Genomic DNA, 22,677 nt, shown 5'->3' with positions numbered 1-22,677 from the left:
AGGAAAATGATATAGCAGGAAAATGTAAATAATATCAGTGGTAGTTAATATCAGATAGGTTGAATATAAGCAAAAAACAAGCAAACAGAAAAACTCAGAAATTAATGTTAGCTCCCTTCCCAAATAGAACTGATAAACAAAACCAAGACTGTATTTGAAAATACAAATAAAATAGGCAAATGTTTGGCAAATCCAATTAAGGAAATAAGGGGGGAAACTCATACAGATATGCAGCATCAGACATTAGAAAAGAAGTATAACTACAGATGGGGAGAGATGCCACAAATTGAGTATAAAAATTAGTGGTCATAATGTTAAATATCTTGATGAAAAGGAATATCTTCTATGAAAATATAAATGACCAGAATTGACTTGAATAATCAAAGAAAAAATATTGTGTAAGAATAACCCAGTCTCCAAAAGGTACCATTAGTGTTACAGGTACATTTTTCCAAATCTACAAGTAACAGGCACTTCCTGTATAATTTAAACCAGGGGTGTCCAATCTTTTGACTTCCCTCGGCCACATTGGAAGAAGAATTGTCTTGGGCCACACATAAAATACACTAACAATAGCTGATGAGCTAAAAAAAAAAAAAAATCACAAAAGAAACCTCATGTTTTAAGAAAATTTACAAATTTGTGTTGGTCCACATTTGAAGCCATCCTGGGCCTCCTGCAGCCCATGGGCCACAGGTTGGACAAGTTTGATTTACACTGTTCTGGAAAAGCTAGACTTAGAAAAGCCACCTTTTTTTGGAGGCTGAAATAACCATGATACAGAAAGATAGTCTAAAAATAGAAAACTATACCCCATAGAGGTGCCCAAACTCTAGGGCAAGCATTGGCAAATCCTCTCTGGTAGTGTCTTGAAGGAACAAATGTGAGTGGGTAGGGCTCGCCGTGGGGTGCAGGGAGGGGGTCAGCCCAGGATAGCACAGCAGGAGTGCACAGAATCAGCATGATGGCCAGGATTTCAGCTCTGAGGGCATTTCACACAAATCTCATACCCATTCCTGCTTTAGAAAACAAACAGATACTTCTTCACATGGTGGAGAAGAGTCAGAAGCAATACTTATTGGAGAAGAACTTGGGGTATTTTAATTAAGTCAAGAATCAGACATTCACTACTGATATCTGCACTGTTTAGAGCTTTGGATCAGTGCACACAAAGGGCCGATAGAAAAAGTACATAGATTGGAAAAGAAGTAATAAAAAGATATTTTAAATGTATGAGTTATGTTATACATGATTATATACAACATACATAGAATATATAAAAGATTAAACAAGAAATATTAGAACTAATGAGTTAAGTTGATTGCTTTTGTGAGACTGTGGCAGGAAAATTGCTTGAGATGAGGAGCTTGAGACTAGCCTGGGCAACATAGCGAGACCCCTTCCTTACAAAAATAAAAAATAGAAAAATAAGCTGGGCATGGTGGCTCATGCCTGTAGTTCCAGCTACTCGAAAGGCTGAGGCAGGAGAATTACTTGGACCTGGGAGGTCAAGGCTGCAGTGAGCCAAGACCATGCCATAGCACTCCAGCCTGGGCAGCAGAATGAGACTCTGTCTCTTAAAATATGTTTGTGTGTGTGTTTGTATATATGTGTGTGTGTTTATGTGTATATAGGTATATATACATGTGTATGTGTATATATATGTATGTGTGATGTGTGTAATATAAATATATACACATACTCACATGTATAATGGAAAATTGTAACAAAAAATGAAAATAACTTGAAATAAATTCAACCAGGAATGTACAGGATATATAAGGAAAGAATATAAAGGCATAACAAAAAATTTACTATGCTTTTATAGAGGATGTCTCAATATTGTGAAGACAGTATCTCAAAAATGGTTTGTAAATTTTATATAAGTCCAGTAAGATCTCCATGAGACTTTTTTTTTCTTTTTGGAGATTGGCTGATTATTTTAAAATTCGTTTTGAAAAATACATATGTGAAAATAGCTAAGCAACCTTTGAGAAAGTATAGAGGGTGACCTTTCTCAGTATTTAAAAATATTATACTGTTGCAGGACTAAACACATCAATAAAACAGTAGAACAAGTGGTTTCAAAGTGCCAGTTCATTGATTTGGCATATCAAAAACTCCAGGAGGAGCTTTTTAACTGTACAGGTTCTGGGGTCCCACTCCTGATTCCATAGTTTTTGGCAGGTCCTAGGATTTGTATAGGTCCACATGATTCCCATTATGATGTGCAGCTGTATTTGAGAGCCTGTAATCTAAGATGCCTTTTGCAACAAGAACAAGAAACAAAAGGACACATGAACTGTTAGTTGAGCTGACAGGATTCTTAGGATAAATAGTTTAAGGGTTGGAAGAAAAGCTTTTCTAGGGGATGGGGAGGAAGTATCTTTAGGATGTGAGGATATGTGCCATTGTGGTGACGTGGTCACTGCTGGGACAGGTTCGGGAATCATAACCAACATCACAGGGTGTGGGAGGATGAGGTAATGTAGTAAGAAGAACGACTATTCTGGGTTGCAAAATTTTAGGAGACTGGTACATTGGCATCATAGAAAGGGCCGTGTGTGTTGACATTGGCTAAGCTTCTCTGTGCACTGACTGTCCCCTCCAGTCGACTCCCTTTCCTGCATGGTAACATCCCATGTCCCTGGATGAGTAGGGGGGCATTTCTTGACAGTGATAGATGGGGTAATTTTCCAGATGTTACCCTTGACCTCAGGTTGTTGGTTTGTCTTCGGGGATCTCATCCAGTTATGATGAAAGCCCTGGCTGGGCTGACCCCTGCATCTTATAAACATAGAGCTGCACAGGGTGACCTTCAGGATCTGGCATCTGTAGACAAGGTGAACACTATGCAGTAAATCCCACCTAGAAGATACAGGGATGACGTGGAATTCCAACACCCGAATCCTGCCCCACCTTCCAAAGGAATGGGTAAACACTGTAATATTGAAGGTTGGCAGTGGTGAGCGTGAACCATATTTGTTGTAAAGACATGTAAGATATTCACTGTCATGAAACCACTGCCCTGTGAACCAAATGAGAGTGGAACCATGCCAGTCTGTTGAGGTGAGTGTACCAAGCTCACTGACTTGAGGCCTTCTTCCCATCCAAGAGCCAAGTAAAGTAGGTCCCATGGAGTGGGAAAGGGTTCTAGGAGGTGCCACCGAGGAGAGGTGAGCCTCCTGCCTTACGTCGTGGCAGGCGTTGCCATATGAGGGCCAGTTTCCCCATTTTCTCCTCCATGGACTTTTCCCCAGTTTTCTTCTTTTCAGAACTCTTGATTTTTCCACATTCTTTGTAATATAAATTAGGAAGAGTATAAACTATGGCTGGCATACAAAATATTTAAGTTACTGATTGTCTACTTCTTGATTTTTAAAGCACTGTTAGTATGGCTCATGTGTGGTTATATGTAATTTACCATTAAAGGTAAAATTCACCTAACATCTTCACCCTGATTATTTCTTCTTAGTGAGGCACAACTGGGAGACAATGACAAAAGCGATTCAGAACCACATCAGCTCTCTAAACTGGGGCTACAGGTTGTCTCTGAGGGAAAAGGCTGTGGCCTATGTCAATTCCTATGGAGAATTTGTTGAACATCATAAAATAAAGGTAGTGCTTGAGTTTCTTGTCTTGTTCATCTCCTTTCTTTACAATTGTTTATACTTGCCTTCAACTAAAATTTCATGTTGCATGTTAAGGGGTGTAACAGGCGTGCGTGCACACACACACACACGGCCATGCATGTGTGTGTGTTTCTCCCCTATTGTTTGCTAATTCTACATGTTTGGTTAACTTGAAGAAATTGTGTTTTAAAGAACTCTTAATTAAAAATTATTTGTCTTTGATTTTATTGCCGTCTTAAAAGAGAACATGTTTAAACTAAGTAGTTCAAAGTTTAAAAGACTAAAAAGATCAAAATTTTATTAGTGGAATCCTTCCTAAAAATGAAACCTTAACTAGAACTCCAATATTATATTATTCATAAAAGCATTGATAAAGTAGCATTAGAATTAGTGTGTTTTATAAGTTTATCTTTGTAATATTTATATATTATTAGATTAATACATATGGAAAATGAGATCATTTTGAGGAACACAAACAGTTTAATTGGAATTATGACAATCAGATATTGTCCTCATCATCTAGTTTATTTTTGTACTTTGTTAGCACAGTGTGAGATAATCTTCACAAGATTTTAGATTATTTTGTATTCAGCTGTTATCTCAGAAATGTGTGAGGTATGGTCCATTTAAAGCTGCCCTTCAATGCTTATTTTCAGCATTTTATTTAAATTTTTTTAATTTAACAGGAAATTGGGAGTATAACACAGTAAATATCCAAATATTCAATTCCTAGGTTTAACGGTTGTTATCATTTGCCATATAATCTATATTTTGGATGATGTGCTTTATTCAGTTAAAGATATATTTCACCCCTAAAAAAATATAATAGGATAAAGTCAGCCCTTTAAAACCTTACATGGGCCAATTTGAATTATATTATTTACATGAAACACAGCAGAAATACATGTTGTGTTTCTCAAATTGCCTGGCACACATGGTTGAATAAGCCCCAACCAAGCCTGCCTGTTGTGTGGCTCCTTGTTTAGTGATGCTAGCACATTCCCAGTCTGCAGGCGAGAAACTCCAGAGTCTCCGTTTCACCCCAGAGCCTGTACTTGCTTGTCTGTTTCAGAGCCCTTCTAAGCAAGGCTCTTTCTCCAGGCTCTGTTCTCCATCCCACTCATGATGCCAACCCACTTGTTTAAACACCTTCATTAATATTAGCATGTGAATGGTTTTTTTCTTTTTTTGTTGTTTCTTTTTTGTTGTTGCTTCTTTCTTTTTTTTTTTTTTTTGAGACAGAGTCTTGCTCTGTTACCCAGGATGGAGTGCAGTGGCGTGATCTTGATTCACTGCAACCTCCAGCTCCCGGGTTCAAGCAATTCTCCCACCTCAGCCTCCCAAGTAGCTGGGATTGCAGGCATATACCACCATGCCCAGCTAATTTTTGTGTTTTTTTAAGTAGAGATGGGGTTTCACCATGTTGGCCAGGCTGGTCTCGAACTCCTGACCTTGTGATCTGCCTTCCTCGGCCTCCCAAAGTATTTGAATTTTTTTAAAATGAAAATGTATTTTTGAATTATTTGTATAATTAAAAATTGTGAGCAACCTTTGTTGGTTCCCCATAGCCTAAGTTGTTAGGATGACATAAGGGCCTTCGCACTTGGCTCTAGTCTGTTTCATGTGACTTCTGACACAACCCTGCTCTCCAGTCTTCAAACACCAACTCCTCCTGGGCTCATGTGCTTTTGTGCGCATTGTTCTGTCTTCCAGGTCTCCGTTCCTCTCCCATCATTTCATTTTTCTTATCTCCACTTGAAAATCTCTACTCCTTCTTTAATACATCCTTGATTGGCTTTCTAGTCCACTACCCTACCCTCACCATGGGGCTTTGATTAATATTTCATAAAGACTTCTGTTTTCTGTGCTTGTGCTTATCACATTGCATTATTACTTTTTCACATGTCTGCTGTTGCTGTTGAATGAGAAGCTCCATGAGGGTAGTAACTATTTTGTCCAGGGTGTCTGGTACTCTGTAGTGTTTGCTAAGTGAGGTTTACTTCTCTTTTTTCAAGGCAACCAATAAAAAAGGACAGGAGACTTATTATACTGCTGCACAGTTTGTCATAGCAACGGGTGAAAGGCCACGGTATTTAGGAATCCAAGGAGATAAAGAATACTGTATTACTAGGTAAGGTTAAATAGACTATTTTAACTTTAATGTTAATAAATTGAATTATATTGACATGTTTCCAGTTTACTTCCTGTCTTATTCCACAAAAGATTTGAATTAACAAATGAAAATATATACAATGCAAGAAGCTAAATAGTTAAAAGTAATGAAACAGAGAATATAAGGTCAGGTAAATAAGGCCAGTGGCAAAATTTATGTACAAAAATATGCCGTGTGTGTCTCGGTGATTCCTAGAAGTAGCCTGGGAGTTTTGTTCTAAACTTCTTACAGGCCAAAACAAAGAAGTAAATACAGTTAGCTCTAGGGGTTAGTGTCCTTATGATAAAAATGAGCCAGCTGGGGAGGAGCAGCACCACTTTTCTTAACACTGAGATTTAATGGGAATATTCCTTAGTGGTCAAACAGGACATGTGTGTAATGACTTGCAAACTTTTTTGAGCTGACTCACATTAAGAAATACATTTTTTGTTGCAGTTTTTTGTTCAGGTAAACAAACACACACCTCTTCACATAGCACATACGTACATACATCTCCAAAACAAACAGGTTTTTTTTTTTATCACATGTAATGTAGTCTGATATTTTCTATACTATTTTATTTTTTAAAAAATCTTGCTTGTGGTCTGATTTAGAAAAATCTGAGGTATACTTCTTGTTCCACATTCTCTCCACAGCAGACTCAATTACAAATTTCAAAAGGCTGTTGCTTCATTCAAGCACTAAATTATAATTCAGTCATCACAAGACCATTATACACTGAAACATGAATAACTCATTTCATTCTTGCTGCCTAGGTATTCTTTTTTTAATTTTTATTTTTCAGTGATGACCTTTTTTCTCTGCCTTATTGCCCTGGCAAAACATTAGTGGTGGGTGCCTCTTATGTTGCCCTGGAGTGTGCAGGGTTTCTGGCTGGCTTTGGCCTAGATGTCACAGTTATGGTACGCTCAATCCTTCTCCGTGGCTTCGACCAAGAAATGGCAGAAAAAGTGGGTTCCTACATGGAGCAGCATGGTGTGAAGTTCCTACGGAAATTCATACCTGTGATGGTAAGGCTGCATGGCATTTGCAATTTTTTTTCTCTAACTTTTCACTTTATCTCACCTTACTTCATTTCATTACATAAATTAGTCTGTATTCAAATAATGTTAAAACAGTGTTTCCACTCCCAAGTCTACAGAGCCAACCCCATTTTCCCCCTCGTCCCCTCTTCTGATATAGGAGGTGTCCTTGCTCTTCTCAGAGGCTGAGTCCCCTCATCTCCCACTTTGTTTCACCTTTTCAAGGATGTTCCATCTTCAGTTAGTAGTTTTCTTTTTCCTTATTCTTATCACTGTCTCTCATCTTGAACAATTAAGCCTTCTTTTACCCTCACTGCCTTTCTGACTGGGTGCCTATTTTTCTTTCTCCTTTACAAAAAAACAAAGAACAACTCTGCATGCTGCTTCTAATTTCTTGACTCCATTTCACGCTTAGCTGACTGTCAGCTGCTTCCATCTCCTTCACTTCTTTGAAGCTGATTGTCAGGCTTTTAGCAAACTTCCTGTCATCAAATCCAGTGGTCATGTCTCTGTCCTTATCTTACTGGGCCTCTTGGCAGCATGCGCTGAAACTGGCCATTCATTTGAAGCACCTTCCTTTCTGGCTTCTGTGGCCCCACAGTCTATAGTTTTCCCATCTACAGCTACTCAACCTACAGACTCCAGCACCCATTTGTTTTCCTCTGGGTCCCTCTTCACTTCTGTGCACTTGCATTACCTGGATGATCTTCTCTAGGCCCATAGTTTTAAACATTATCTAAATGCTAATGATTCTCAGATTTATATCTCCTATTTAAGAGTCTCTCCTGAATTCCATACTCATTTATACTACTGCCTACTAGAAATTGCCACTTGAATTCCTCATAAGCATTTCAAACTTAACAAGACAAAAATGAAACTAGATTTTTTACCTAAATATTCTCCTGCTAATCTTTCTGGCCCATCTCAGTACTCAGTAAATGGTACTTAACACAGTATATTAAGCCAGTATCTAGGAATACCCCTTAATTTATCTTTTTATGCTCCCTCCAATCTCAACTAATTCATTAATTCATTTCTACCTCCAAAATATATCTGTGACAGTCCACTTTTCTCTATTTCTGCCTTATCCAGAAACCTTATACTAACACCTATTATATGTACCACCACCAAACACACAAATGTACACGAACATACCGGTGTAGACCCTTTCGTGTATTTCTTTTTTATCATATTTAGATAACATCATTACACTCTTCATTCTTACTAGGTTCAACAGTTGGAGAAAGGTTCACCTGGAAAGCTGAAAGTGTTGGCTAAATCCACTGAAGGAACAGAAACAATTGAAGGAGTCTATAACACAGTGAGTTTTTATTTTATCATTACTAAGTTATTGAACACACTCCTAAATTAACAGAAATGAAACTTATGGGAAAATTATACCAGGATTAACATTTTTTTACTTTTTTTATTCTTTGTAAGAGCATTATCATAGAAGATAATTTGGCTACTGACATTTGAGTTTTCAGTAATGCATGAGGAATACCACGGTAAAGTATGTGTGTATGCGACTGTATGTAAAATTTGGAAGCACATATATCCAGATGTGTGCTTACTTTTGGAAAATTAGATATTTTATACATTTCTTAATTTGAATATTTTTGCAATAAATATTGAATATATTTTATAATGAAAAACAACAACAAAGCTATTTTTCTTTCTCAAAAACAAACAGTACAAAATCTCCAAACAATGTGAAATAACCCATGGAATACTTTGGAGGCCAACAATTCTTTTGTAATTAGTTTATAGTTTTGACAGAAACTATACATTTATGTTTTATATACTCTTTTTATGTAGAAATTTTTTCAGTTAAAAAAATGCAGCGTAGAGAAAGAACATCAACAAAGCAAAAAAACATGTAACAAAACCAAAATCCAAAAATCAACCTTATTGAGATTTTGATTAGGATTGGATTGGATATATAGGAAAATTTGGAAACACTTGACTTCTTTGCAATATTCAGTCTTCCCACCCATGAACATGGTATATCTATCCATTAATTTAGATCTTCTTTAATGATTCCCAGCAAAGTTAATACATTTCTCCTTAGAGATCAAGAATATCTGTTAGATTTATTACTAGATACTTATGTAATTTATATGTAGTCACAAATGGTATTTTTTTTGAAAATGTCACTATCTTTAAGTGTTTCTAGTGTATACAAATGCTGCTCATTTTTGTGTTTTGATTTAGTATTCAGTAATCTTGCTAAACTCTTACTGAAAAATTTATCCTTAGATTGTTTCAGATTTCCTGTGTACACATTTATTTATTTGTGAATAATAACAGTTTGTTTCTTCCTTTTTACTGGTTTTCTCTTTTTTTCTTGTATAAATGCATTAGTTAGGACCTCCAGTACAGTCCTGACAAGAAATGGCAATAGCAGGCACTCTTGTCTTATTTACAATATCAAAAGAAAAGACGTTTCACTAAAAAGCAATGTTTTCTGTAGGGTTTTGTTATATGCTGTTAATCAAGTTAAGGAGCTCGTTTTCTATTTTTTGTTACCTAAGTGTCTTTTTGTTTATGTTGTTTTGTATATTTAAGAAGGAATGTATGTTCAATTATAACAGTGTTTCGTTTGCAGCTGTGGATGATGAATTTTTTCTTTAATCTGTTAATTTGTTGAATTGCATTGATTTTCTAATATTCAACCAACTTTGTATCCTTTGTATAAACCCAACTTGGTAATGTTGGACTTCGTTATTTAGAATTTATGCATTTATATTTATGAATCATATTGGCTTGTAATTTTCCTTTTACATATTGAACATTTTAATTTTAGGTTTGAGTATCAAGGTATTCCTGCTCATGAAAGAATTTTGGAGTATGTTTCCTCATTTCCTGTTTTCTGGCAAAGTTCATGTAACATTAGAATTGGTTCCTTGTATGTTTCATAGAATTTACTGATGCAACTGTCTATACCTATAATTTTCTATGGAGATATATTTGACCACTGATTAATTTCTTTAATAGTCAAAGGACTTTTAAGACTTTTTATTTTTTCCTTGATTTACTTTTGATTAGTTATATTTTTTTCCAGGAATTAGTCCATTTCATCTGAGTTTTCAAATGTATTGGTATGAAGTTGTCCATAATATCTAACTGTAAATTATTTTTGTAATGAGGTATAATATACATGTAGTGAAATCCACAGATCCTAGGTGTACAGTTCAGTCAGTTTTGACAGATGTCCACGTTCATGTAATCCACACTCCTTTAGGTAACAGAACATTTCTGTGAGTCCAGAAAGCGCTCTGTGCTTTTTCCCAGTCATCGACCCCCAAGCAACCACTATTCTGATTCTGTCACTACAGACTTATTTTGTTTGGTTTGCCTCTAAATCTCATATAAGTGGAATTGTACAGTATGTATTCCTTGTATCTGACTTCTTTTATTCAGATTGATGTTTTTAGGACTCATCCATGTTGTGTGCATCAGTAGTTCTTTTTATCGTATAGATTTTATTAATGTAGCAGTTTATTCATTTTCCTGTGGGTAGATACCTAGCCTCTTTGCAGTTTGGACTATTGTGATTAAAACTGCTGTGAAGATTCTTTGTGGAAAGCTTTTTATGGAGAGATATATAGAGAGAGATGGTTTCACTCTGTCACCCAGGCTGGAGTGCAGTGGTGAGATCAAGGCTCACTGCAGCCTCCAACTCCTTGGCTCAAATGATCCTCCCAACCCAGCTTCCCTAGTTGCTAGGACCACAGGCACATGCCACCATGCCTGGCTAATTTTTTTTTTTTTACGGTTGGGGTCTCACTGTGTTGTCCAGGCTGATCTTGAACTCCTAGCCTTAAGCAAGCCTCCTGTCTTGGCCTCTCAACATGCTGGGATTATAGGCATCAGCCACTGCTCCCAGCCAACATATATTTTAATTTCTCTTTGACAAATACCTAGGAGTGAAATTGCTTGATCATGGGATGGTTTTTACTTTTTAAGAAACTACCAAACAGTTTCCCAATGATTATGCCATTTTGTATTTCCATCAGCTATATGTGAAGGCCTAGTTGTTCCAGACCCTTAGGACTTTTAGGGGCATCTGGCTTTCTCATTCTAGGCATTCTAGTGAATGTGTAGAGGTATCTTATAACTTTAATTTGCATCTCCCTGATGACTAATGATGTAGAGCAATTTTCATGTGTTTATTGGCCATTCATGTATATTTTCTTTGAAGTGTTTGTTCAAGTCTTCAGCCCTTTTTTATTGGATCGTTTGAATTTTTATTGAATTGCAGGGCTTCTATATATCTTGGGCATATTCCTTTTTCAGATATATGTATTTTGAATATTTTCTTCACGTCTGTGACTTGCCTATGTATTTTTCAGTAGTATCTTTGGGTTAACAGTAGTTTTAAATGTTTATGAAGTTCAATTTTATTAGTATTTTACTTTATGTTTCATGCTTTCTGTGTGCTCTAAGAAATCTTTGCTAACCCAAAGGTCATGGAAGTATCCCTTTGTTTGCTTCCTGAAGCTTTATAGTTTTAGCTTTTATGTTTAAGTCCATAATCTACCTTGAATTTTTTTAGTAAATAAATTAATTCTCATTCATTTTAATTAGAATTCATTTTAATTAGATTTAAGTTGCTTTTGGTTTTGGAGACTTTTGAAAAGAAAACTGAATTAGGTCCATTTCACTGTCCGTTGATTCCTTTTCCTGAAAGTTGTGTGATGCTGGCAGATCATCTCGAAGCTCTGCAATAACATCTGTCTTGATTTTCCATTCTGCAGCTTTGTTTTGAACATGTTTTCTAGTTGAAGATTTGGGTAAAGAATATACTGCTGTTCAAATCAAAACCACAATGAGATACCATCTCACACCAGTTAGAATGGCGATCATTAAAAAGTCAGGAAACAGGTGCTAGAGAGGATGTGGAGAAATAGGAACACTTTTACACTGTTGGTGGGACTGTAACTAGTTCAACCATTGTGGAAGTCAGTGTGGCAATTCCTCACGGTTCTTGAACTAGAAATACCATTTGACCCAGCCATCCCATTACTGGGTATATACCCAAAGGATTATAAATAATGTTGCTATAAAGACACATGCACACGTATGTTTATTGCAGCACTATTCACAATAGCAAAGACTTGGAACCAACCCAAATGTCCAACAATGATAGACTGGATTAAGAAAATGTGGCACATATACACCATGGAATACTATGCAGCCATAAAAATGATGAGTTCATGTCCTTTGTAGGGACATGGATGAAGCTGGAAACCATCATTCTGAGCAAACTGTTGCAAGGACAAAAAACCAAACACTACATGTTCTCACTCATAGGTGGGAATTGAACAATGAGAACACATGGACACAGGAAGGGGAACATCACACATCAAGGCCTGTTGTGGGGTGGGGGGAGGGGGGAGGGATAGCATTAGGAGATATACCTAATGTTAAATGACGAGTTAATGGGTGCAGCACACCAACATGGCACATGTATACATATGTAACTAACCTGCACATTATGCACATGTACCCTAAAACTTAAAGTATATTAAAAAAAAAAAGAATATACTGCTGTTCTTGCCATTTCCAAAGTGGTCTTTGGAAAAGCCATGTCTGTCCCTTTATTATTTTTGGTCCCAAAAGGAGGATTCAAAATTGCTGTCTCAACTGACTTGGACATTCCATTAGATAATGAGCACACATCACGTTGAACCATGCCAACATATGTTAATTCAGACTCTTCCACATGCCTATTAAATATTCCTAGTGCACCTGCATCTATGTCAAATCCAACATACAACCTGGCTCCTAACATTGCAGTTCCAAGACTAAGCACTCCACAGCCACATCCTAGATCTGCAGCCACTTTATTTTCTACCTCATCACATGTGTTATGGATTGTATAGAGCATACGTGCTTCACTGTGTAGTTCTTTTCTTTCCGTGTGGATATCCAGTACCATTTGTTGAAAAGACTTCCCTTTCTTTATTGAATTGCTTTGGAATCTTCAATGAAAGACCATTTAACCCAGCACTTTGGGAGGCCGAGGTGGGCAGGTCACAAGGTCAGGAGATCGAGACCATCCTGGCTAACACGGTGAAACCCCGTCTCTACTGAAAATACAAAAAAATTAGCCGGTCATGGTGGCGGGCGCCTGTAGTTCCAGCTACTCAGGAGGCTGAGGCAGGAGAATGGCGTGAACCCGGGAGGCAGAGCTTGCAGTGAGCCGAGATCACGCCACTGCACTCCAGCCTGGGTGCCAGAGCAAGACTCCATCTCAAAAAAAAAAAAAAGAAAGACCATTTAACTGTGGGTCTATTTCTGTGCTCTTCTCATAGACCGTTTGTCTGTCCTTTCCCCAGTACCACATTGTTTTGATTACTGAAGCTCAGTGGTAAGTCTTAGATCAGGTAGAGTGAGTCCTCTAATTTTGTTTAGATTGTTTGCATTTCTATATAACTTTTAAAAACAGCTTTTTAATTTTTAGAAACAAAAGTCTGCTGGGATTGTGGCTGGAATTGTCTTTTTTCCATAGTCAGTTTGGAAGAACTGACTTTTTAACAATATTGATTTTTCCAACATATGAACCTCATATGTTTTTCCATTTATTTGTGTATTCCTTAGTTCCTCTCAGCAATGTTTTATCATTGGGCTCTAGAGGTCTTTCACATATTTTGCTAAACATACTTCATGTTTTTAAAGCTAACATAAATGGCATTTTTAAATGGTTGGTTGGTAGTGTATAAAAATACAGTTTTTTTTATATTGACCTTGTAGCTTCTTAGGATTCATATCTACAAATAAAAACAATTTTGTTTCTTCCTTTCCAGTCTGCATGCTTTTAATCTTTTTTTTTTTTTTTTTTGGCCTTGTTTCACTGGCTAATACCTCCAATACAGTGTTGATTAGAAATGGTGAGAATGGGCATGCCTGTCTGGTTCCTGGTGTTAGGGGTGAAGCATTGAGTCTTGTATCATTGCCAGGATGTGACCTGTAAGTTTGCTACACTTGCCTTTTATCTGGTGACGAAAATTGTCTTTTCTTTTATTCCGAAGATTTTAATTATGAAAGAGTGTTTTAATTTTGTGAAACGCTTTATTGCATCTATTGAGATGGTTGAATTGTTTTCTCCTTTATTCTGTTAATATGATGAATTACATTGATGGATTTTTGTATGTTAAACCAAATTTGCATTTTGGGGACAAACTCACTTGATCACGAACAATTATCCTTTTTATATATTGCTATGTTTGACTTGCTAACATTTCATTAAAGATTTTACATCTATATTCATGAGGAGCGTTGGCTTGTGGATTTCTTTTCTTTTAATGCACTTGTCTGATTTTGGTGTCAGCTGCTTATATTGGCCTCATAAAGGAGTTGGGAAGTACTCCCTTTTTCTCTTTCCTGAAAGAGTTTTTGTACCATTAGCATTATTTCGTACTTAAGTATTCCATAGACTTTCCTATAGAAGCTGTCTGGGTCTGGAATTAATTTATGAGAAATTTACAAGTTGAGAATTCAGTTTCTTTAATGGTATAGGACATATTAGTTTGCCAGGGCTGCCATAGCAAAATACCGCAGACTGTGTGGCTTAAACAACATTTATTTTCTCACAGTTCTGGAAGAGTACCACAGACCAGGGGGCGTAAACAACAGAAATGTATTTCTCACAGTTCTAGAGGCTGGAAGTCTAAGATCAAGGTGTTGACAGGGTTGGTTTCTTCTGAGGCCTCTCTCCTAGGCTTGTACATGACTGTCTTCTCCTTGTGTCCTCACATGGTCATCCTTTGGTCTGTGTTGCCCATGTCCTCCTCTTCTTATAGCACACCAGTCATACTGGATTAAGGCACACCCATATGACCTATTTTACCTTAATTACCTCTGTAAAGGCTCTGTCTCCAAATATAGTCACCCTTGGAGGTACTTAGAGATAGGATTTCAGCATATGAATTTTGAAGGGACATAATTTAGCCTGTAGACTTTTCAGACTTGTGAAGTTTGGTAAGTTGTGTCTTTTAAGGAATCTATTTCACCTTAAGCTGTCAGCTTTATTGGCATAGATTGTTTGTAATATTCCATTATTACCCTTTTAATGTCTGAAGGATCTATAGTGATGTTCCTTCTTTCATTCCCGATATGGATAATTTGTGTTTTTGATTTCTCTGCAAATGCAGGTTTTGTTAGCTATTGGTCGTGACTCCTGTACAAGGAAAATAGGCTTGGAGAAGATTGGTGTCAAAATTAATGAGAAGTAAGTATATTGGGATCACTGCACTGTTGCTGCACAAAGCAACAGGTTTCTGCAGATCACCTCTAAGAAATTCTCATTTAATTACTGAGATATGTCTTAATTTATCTTATAAGTTCAGTGCCAGCTCTTTATAATCAATTTCTTCATCAATCAGTAACTCTTACTTAAAAAGCTCATATGCCTTAAAAAGCTCATATATTAAACAATGACTTTAAGAAATAATTGCAGAGATATATTTACCTAATGTCTGTGACTTAGAGCACATCTTTATGTCCTTGGTCAGGGAAAGAGATAAATTCCAAAGCTCTAAGTGAGTCTGTGGAGGCAGTCTATAGATATCCTTGGCATCCAGGAAATGCCTGTGGTTTCACCAGAGATATTTTCTTTTGGAGCTACAGAAACCCTTGTTACTTTAAGTCATTGACCTTATATATAATTGATATCCTGAGGTGCGTGAATTTTAAGAGGTCTTCTATGTATTTAGTCTTTTGGCTAATAGTATTAGTCAGCCAGCAGTGTAGAGTGAGTTGTAATATATATTTTTTCCCATTTCAAAAACTAATAGGAGTGGAAAAATACCTGTAAATGATGTGGAACAGACCAATGTGCCATATGTCTATGCTGTTGGTGATATTTTGGAGGATAAGCCAGAGCTCACTCCTGTCGCCATACAGTCAGGCAAGCTGCTAGCTCAGAGACTTTTTGGGGCCTCTTTAGAAAAGGTAAGTTTCTTACTGTTTTTGAGATAATGTCCTGATCAAGATCATGATTTTTAAAACTAATACAAGTAAAACTTGTGTGCCTGTTTTCCAAGTAAAGGGTTCCTCAGAGATATAATTTGCAGTAGACTTACTATTTACTAATGGATTAAAATAAGTATTTTTGAGTGTCCACTGTGTGCAAGATGTTGTGCTGGGTGATACACAAAGCACTGGCCATGGTCAGCCCCAGGGGCTTACCAGGTAGGTGGGATCATGAGTCAGGCAGGCACAGGCTGAGCAGAAGGCAGAGTGTGGTTGTGTGCCAGAGTGCTGTCAGCAGGTTGCTCTAGGGACACTGAAGGGATGTTTAATTCTAGCTGCAGGGAGGGGAAAGCCTTCATAAGTGGACTGTTGCACTGTAATAGCATAGGAGCTCTTGGCATGAATCAGGATTCTGGTCCTGGCTTCAGTGCCCACTTGGCCTGTAAACATGGTCAGGTTGTTTAACTTCTGAGGATCTTCTTAATTTCATCATCGACAAAGCCAAGGATGTGAATCAGATGATTTCTACAGAGGATTTCCACTTTTCATATTTTTAAATCAAATAATTTGGGATGAGCTTTATAGGATGAGTAATTCAAAATTGAGGAAGCGGAGGACTTTTCAGGTGGGCAGATAACTCGGCTAAGGACGCAGAGACCTGTAGTGCTTGGCTCGTGCTAAGGACTATGAGTAGTGTCCCAGGAGCTTTCAGCTGGGGAAGTACTGCTCAGCTCTGTTAGGAGCTCTGTGGCCGTGTGGTGGAGTTGGCGGGAGACGGATGACTGGGGAAGGGCCCTGCTGCATTAGTGGGTGGGGTCAGGAATGCTGAGTATACCATCTCATGCAAAGAAAAATTGTCCCAAACACAATGCAATAGAACATTTTGCAATGTGTGTAGGCAGAGTAGTTGGTGATAGGGAAGTACAATTGGGAAGGAGGCTGGAAAACTAATTTGGTGCCAGATCATCAAAAATCTTTGCCACAAAGAAGAATTGGTAGGGCCTTCTCTAGGCAGTAGGGATCTGTTGAGACCTTTATTTCCCCCAACTTTTTATTTAGAAAGATGTCAAAAGACAGAAAGAGTAGTAAAACAATCGCCCATATTGAACCTTTCACCCAGATTCCCCAGTTATTCACATCCTGCTGTTTTTGTTCTGTCTCTCCTTTTCTGAATATGTGTATGTGTAGTTCATATTCCTTTTTTGTTTTGCTGAGCTTTTTGCTGCCACTTTTTGAAGTGGCAGGCATCAATGACATTTTTCTCTAACTACTTCAGTATATATCTCCTAAGTACAAGGATGTTTACCTCCGTAACTGCAGTTCTGTTGCCATATCTGAGAAGTTCAACAAAAGTACTATAATATTCAATTTCCCCAGTTGTTCCTTAAGAGTGTTTGTGTGTGATTTTTTTTTTTTTTTTTTTTTTGAGACAGAGTCTCGCTCTGCCGCCCAGGCTGGAGTGCAGTGGCTCGATCTCTGCTCACTGCAAGCTCCGCCTCCTGGGTTCATGCCATTCTCCTGCCTCAGCCTCCCAGGTAGCTGGGACTACAGGCGCCTGCCACCACGCCCAGATAATTTTTTGTGTTTTTAGTTGAGACGGGGTTTCACTGTGTTAGCCAGGATGGTCTCAATCTCCTAACCTCGTGATCCGCCTGCCTCAGCCTCCCAAAGTGCTGGGATTACAGGCATGAGCCACCGTGCCCGGCCAAGAGTGTGTGTGTGTTTTGATTTGCACAGTACATGTGGCTCTTTTGACGCTTCAGTACATGTGGCTCTTATGACGCTTAAGTCTCTTAATCTGACACAGTCCCCCTGCCTTTGTTTTTTATTTTCTATGACAGTGACTTTTTTCCTTTTATTTTTAGTTGACACATAATGATTGTACATATTTATGGGATACAGAGTGATATTTTGATACACGTATACAATGTGTAATGATCAAATCAGGGTAGTTAGCATATCCATTACCTCAAACGTTTGTCATTTATTTATGTGGGAACATTCTGTTATATCCTCTTTTAGCTTTTTGGAAATATGCAATGAATTCTTGTGAATTATGTTCACCCTACAGTGCTGTAAAGCACTAGGACTTAACTCCTCCTGTTTAGCTGTAATTTTGTGTCTATTAACCAACCTCTCCCCATCCTCCCCTTTACCCTACCCTTCCCAGCCTCTAATAACCACAATTCTACTTTCTACTTCTATAAGATCAACTTTTTTAGCTCCCACATATGAGTGAGAACATGCAGTATTTGTCTTTCTGTGCCCAACTTATTTCACTTAATACAATGTCTTCCAGGCTCATTCATGTTGCTATGAATGATCAGATTTTATTCTTCTTTATGGCTGAATAGTATTTAATTGTGTTTATATACTACGTTTTCTTTATCCATTCATGCATTATGGATGCTTAGGTTGAGTCCATTTTTTCCTGTTTTGAATAGTGCTGCAGTAAACATGGGTGTGCAGATATCTTTTTGATACACTGATTCTTTCCTTTCGATAAATATTAGTACTGGGATTGCTGGATCATATGGGGTTCTGTTTTTAGTATTTTGAAGACCCTCCATACTGTGTTCCATAGTGGCTGTGTTAGTTTCCATTCTCACTAACAGTATGTAAGAGTTCCCTTTTTTCCACATCCTCACCAGCCTTTGTTATTTTTTGTCTTTTTGATAATAGCCATTCTAACCAGGATATGGTATCTTATTGTGGCTTCAATTTGCATTTTCCTGATGATTAGTGATACTAAGCATTTTTTCATATACTTGTTGCCCATGTGTATGTCTTATGAGAAACATCTGTTCAGATCCTTTGCCCATTTTTAAATCAAATTCTTTTTTTTTTTTTTTTTTTTGGCTCTGAGTTGTTTGAGTTCCTTGTGTAGGGATATTAGCACCTTCTCAGATGGATAGTTTACAAATATTTTCTCCCATTTTACAGTTGTCTCTTTACTCTGTTGATTGTTTCCTTTGCTGATTGCAGAAGCTTTTTAGTTTGATACCGTCTCATTTGTCTGTTTTCATTTTGTTGCCTGTGTTTTTGAGGTCTTACCTATAAAATCTTTGCCTAGACCAATGTCCAGAAGGATTTCTCCTGTTTTCCTCTAGTAGTTTTATAATTTGGGGACTTATATTTAAGTCTTTAATTCATTTTGAATTGATTTTTCCACATGGTGAGATATAGAGGTACAGTTTCATTCTTCTACATATACTGTTTTCCCACTACCATTCACTAAATATGATGTCCTTTCTCCAGTGTATGTTCTTGGTTCCTTTGTCAAAAATTAATTAGCTGTAAATATGTGGTTTTATTTCTGGGTTCACTGTTCTGTTCCATAGTCTATGTGTCTGTTTTCATATTACTATCATGCTGTTTTGGGTACTATAACTTGTAGTATATTTTGAAATCAGGTAGTGTAATGCCTCCAGCTTGATTCTTTTTGTTCAGTATTACTTTCGCTATTTGGCTTCTTTTGTGGTTTCATAAAAATTTTAAGATTGTTTTTTCTACTACTGTGAAGAATGTGATTGGTATTTTGATAGAGATTGGATTGCATCTGTAGATTGCTTTGAGTAGTGTGGTCATTTTAACAATATTAATTCTTCCAATCCATGAGCATGGGATATCTTTCTACATTTTTGTACCTTCTTCAGTTTCTTTCACCAGTGTTTTGCAGTTTTCATTGTAGAGTGGTTTCACCTACTTGATTAAATGTATTCCTAAATATTTTATTTTTTGTAGCTATTATAAATGGAATTGCTTTATTGATTTCTTTTTCAGTTAGTTTGTTATTGGTGTATAGAAACACTGCTGATTTTTGTATGTTGATTTTTGTATCCTGCAACTTCATTGAATTTATCAGTTCTAAGAATTTTTGGTGGAATCTTTAGGTTTTTCTACATATGAGATCATATTGTCTGCAAAGAGGGACAGTTTCACTTCCTGTTTTCCCAGTTTGGGTGCCCATTATTTCTTTCTCATCCTGACTGCTCTGGCTAGGACTTCTAGTACTGTGTTGAATAAGACTGGTGCCAGTGGGCATCCTTGTCTTGCTCCAGTTCTTAACTCTGACTTTTTTATGAATCCAGGTTACTTTTCTTGTAGAATGTCCCACTTTCTGAATTTCTCCAGTTGTTTTTGCATGAGTGTGTTCAGATGAAGAGGTTTGGGCACGGATTCTCCATGAGGAATGCCATGTTCTGCTTTGCTTCATCCCCCAGGTACCTGCCAAGGCCTTGCATGGAGACCTTGTGGGTGGGTGTATTTGGTGCATGAAGCCAGCCACTGGGGAGGGGTCTCTGCTGGCATTAATGGATGGGGACCAGGAATGCTAAATTTGCAAGGAATTATCTCAACTGCAAATAACATTTTGGGGTGTATGTCGGCAGAGCAGTTGCCTGATGCTGTAAGGAGTTAATCATGGTGACTGTGGGGAGGAGGGATTAGAATATAGAGCAATATGTGTAGAGTATAAAGAAAGAGATGAAAGGCTCAAGACGGAAAGAAGCCTATAAGAAGGATAGCATGAGTCAAGTCCAGGTGAAGGAGATGATGTAAGATGTGGAGAAAGTTTTTAGGAGAAAGGGGCAAAGCTGAGCCATTTCCTGTTTATTTTTCTTAGTTGATATGAAACAGGAAACAAAGGCATCTATTAAGAATGAGGCCTCCCATGTAAGCTATGGAATCTAGGGTCAGCTGCCAGTCAATAAATGGATCGGCAACATGTGAGTGCCTCAGAGAAGTCAGAAAATACCCAGGCAGTTCACATAGTTATGTGATTTTGTCAGCCATGTTGGGAAAAGAAAATAAATTCTTGGCTTACCCATGGTTTGCAGGTAGGCAAATATGAAGTGGCATGAGAGTGTAAGAATCTAGGCTGATGGATAACTTACCTGTGTTGTATGCAAATCCTCTCATTGATTTGGGGGATACGTGGTGGTGTTTTGGTTTTCTTTGGGGTAACAAAGAATAGAAGCTCACTCAAACTAGGCAAATTGAGGGAGGTTACTGTAAGAATCCTGGGATTAATAGGTAGAATCACAGAGGAACCTAAAAAAAGAACTATACTAGGGCTGGGCCTGCCTGCATTTGGAGGTGGGGTCCCAGCTGCTCTGGGGCCCAGCAGCACAGTGGGGGGTTTGTACAGATGTGCTCCTCCTTGGCCTAACTTGGCGACAACTCTGCAGGTCCATTTCTTCCCGTTCCTCTACCACCTGGAAAATTCTCTTTCCTTCTAGTTAATTTTCCTATAAAAGAAAGAATTGGATTGACTCAGCCCACCTTTTTCTGCCATTCTGTAGATTTCTGGCCAGCTTATGTGTTGGCTCTTGTGAGATCAGATGGCTGTCCCCAGTCTAATCACTTGTGGCCATTGGCAGGGATTGGGGAACATACAGTGCTGTGGATGGTGGTGTCTTTTGAAGGGGCTGTGGCTGAGCAGGCACCTTCCACCTTTTCTCTGCCACCTACACACAGCTTTCTCTCCATGCACATGGTTTCATGGTTCACCCACCAAAGTATTCCAGCTCCTCTCCACACAGCCAGAGAGGCCCTCTCTTCTCCCAAGTTGGGGCCTTTCCTAGGCAGGAGTGCCACCTTGCAATGTCCATTCTTCTCTGACTCAGTCTGATAAAGGCTCTGGAGATGGTTCTTTCTTAACCCCTGGACTATAGAGATGACCTGTGGTCATCCTTGTCCCTGCGGTGTATTAGCACCCCCCTCCAGACACACTCACACATGTACCATCCCCCTTTGATGGTCAAGAACACTTAGTCCAGCACCGTTGAGCTGCATATTTGCCTCACCTCTCAGTGGCATAAGGAATATGAAATGGCCAAGAGGTGGTCTCAGCTTCCACTGAAGTAGCATAATTCAAGGTTGCCTGGAAGAAGTGCTCCAGGAGCAGAGCCCAGAATCATGGGCATGGAAAGAAAACATTTTGGAGAGTGTCTTTAGGGGCAGATGGATGGCACCACCTCCACCTCTTACTTCTGGTTCTTAGACCTCCGAGTCTGTGCTCCAGGAGAGCCGGTCCCATTTGTTGGTGGCTAGCCAGTGTGTGGTCTCTTCCCCTGAGTCAGGGGCCCATCCCAGATCTCTGTTAAGGTACCTTAGAGTTTTCCTGAAGCTGTTGATGTTTTAAGAATTGGTTACACTGAACTGGACTGATTTATTTTCTTTATATAAATATATGCAATATAGATTTTTGCTATAAAGTTTCACAAAATAAGACAATGTAATTTGTTTGTCTTTCAGTGTGATTATATTAATGTTCCGACTACAGTGTTTACTCCTCTGGAGTATGGTTGCTGTGGATTATCTGAAGAGAAAGCTATTGAAGTATATAAAAAAGAGAATCTAGAAGTAAGATTGTGTTTTATTACTTCCTTAAAAAATTCTCTTTTAATCAACAATTTATCTTTGCGGTCACTTTTTATTTCATCATTTTGCAAGTTACTATGATGGTTATATTGTAGGAAATCATATTCCTATTTTAGGAAAATTAGGAATTAATTTAAATCCTGTCTGTCTAGCAAAGAAGAGGAATATGGTTGGGAAAGAGGGAAGTGTAATCTATAAGTCAGGACACTTGAATTACAAGTAACAAAAATCTATTTGAGCAAACTTGTACAAGGAAGCTCAAAGTTATTTTAAGATCTTTTGGGACTGCAGGGGTAGGAATGGCTACGGGTGGTAAGGTGGGAAGTTCCAGGGTTGTCTGCCTGTGGGCTCTTCAGATTTCCAAAAGGACGCCCTCTACACACCTTTATTGCTACCTCTTGTTTACCCCCCAACCCTGTCCAATTATAACCTTAAAAATATTTTCTTACATCATTTCTTGCTGGGAAGTTTGATTGGCTTTTTTCTG

The 22,677-nt window shown here is 38.0% G+C and overlaps 1 protein-coding gene and 1 pseudogene across 2 annotated transcripts in view; one reads left to right on the top strand and one right to left on the bottom strand.

Annotated features, from left to right (window-relative positions):
* Positions 1-22,677, top strand: part of TXNRD3 (thioredoxin reductase 3) — a 48,075-nt gene that overhangs the window by 17,598 nt on the left and 7,800 nt on the right. The window contains exons 7-13 of one of the 2 annotated variants that reach the window (NM_052883.3): positions 3,476-3,618; positions 5,648-5,763; positions 6,590-6,815; positions 8,056-8,148; positions 14,987-15,063; positions 15,629-15,785; positions 22,065-22,172. In NM_052883.3, the coding sequence (NP_443115.1) occupies positions 3,476-3,618; positions 5,648-5,763; positions 6,590-6,815; positions 8,056-8,148; positions 14,987-15,063; positions 15,629-15,785; positions 22,065-22,172 (920 nt within the window). The remainder of the gene's footprint in view (positions 1-3,475; positions 3,619-5,647; positions 5,764-6,589; positions 6,816-8,055; positions 8,149-14,986; positions 15,064-15,628; positions 15,786-22,064; positions 22,173-22,677) is intronic. The other variant, NM_001173513.3, reaches the window with a different exon arrangement.
* On the bottom strand, positions 11,419-12,735 carry METTL5P2 (METTL5 pseudogene 2; annotated as a pseudogene).

This window comes from Homo sapiens, chromosome 3, assembly GCF_000001405.40.
Source record: "Homo sapiens chromosome 3, GRCh38.p14 Primary Assembly".
Taxonomy (NCBI): Eukaryota; Metazoa; Chordata; class Mammalia; order Primates; family Hominidae; genus Homo; species Homo sapiens.
This window is presented reverse-complemented; position numbering and strand designations above follow the sequence as displayed.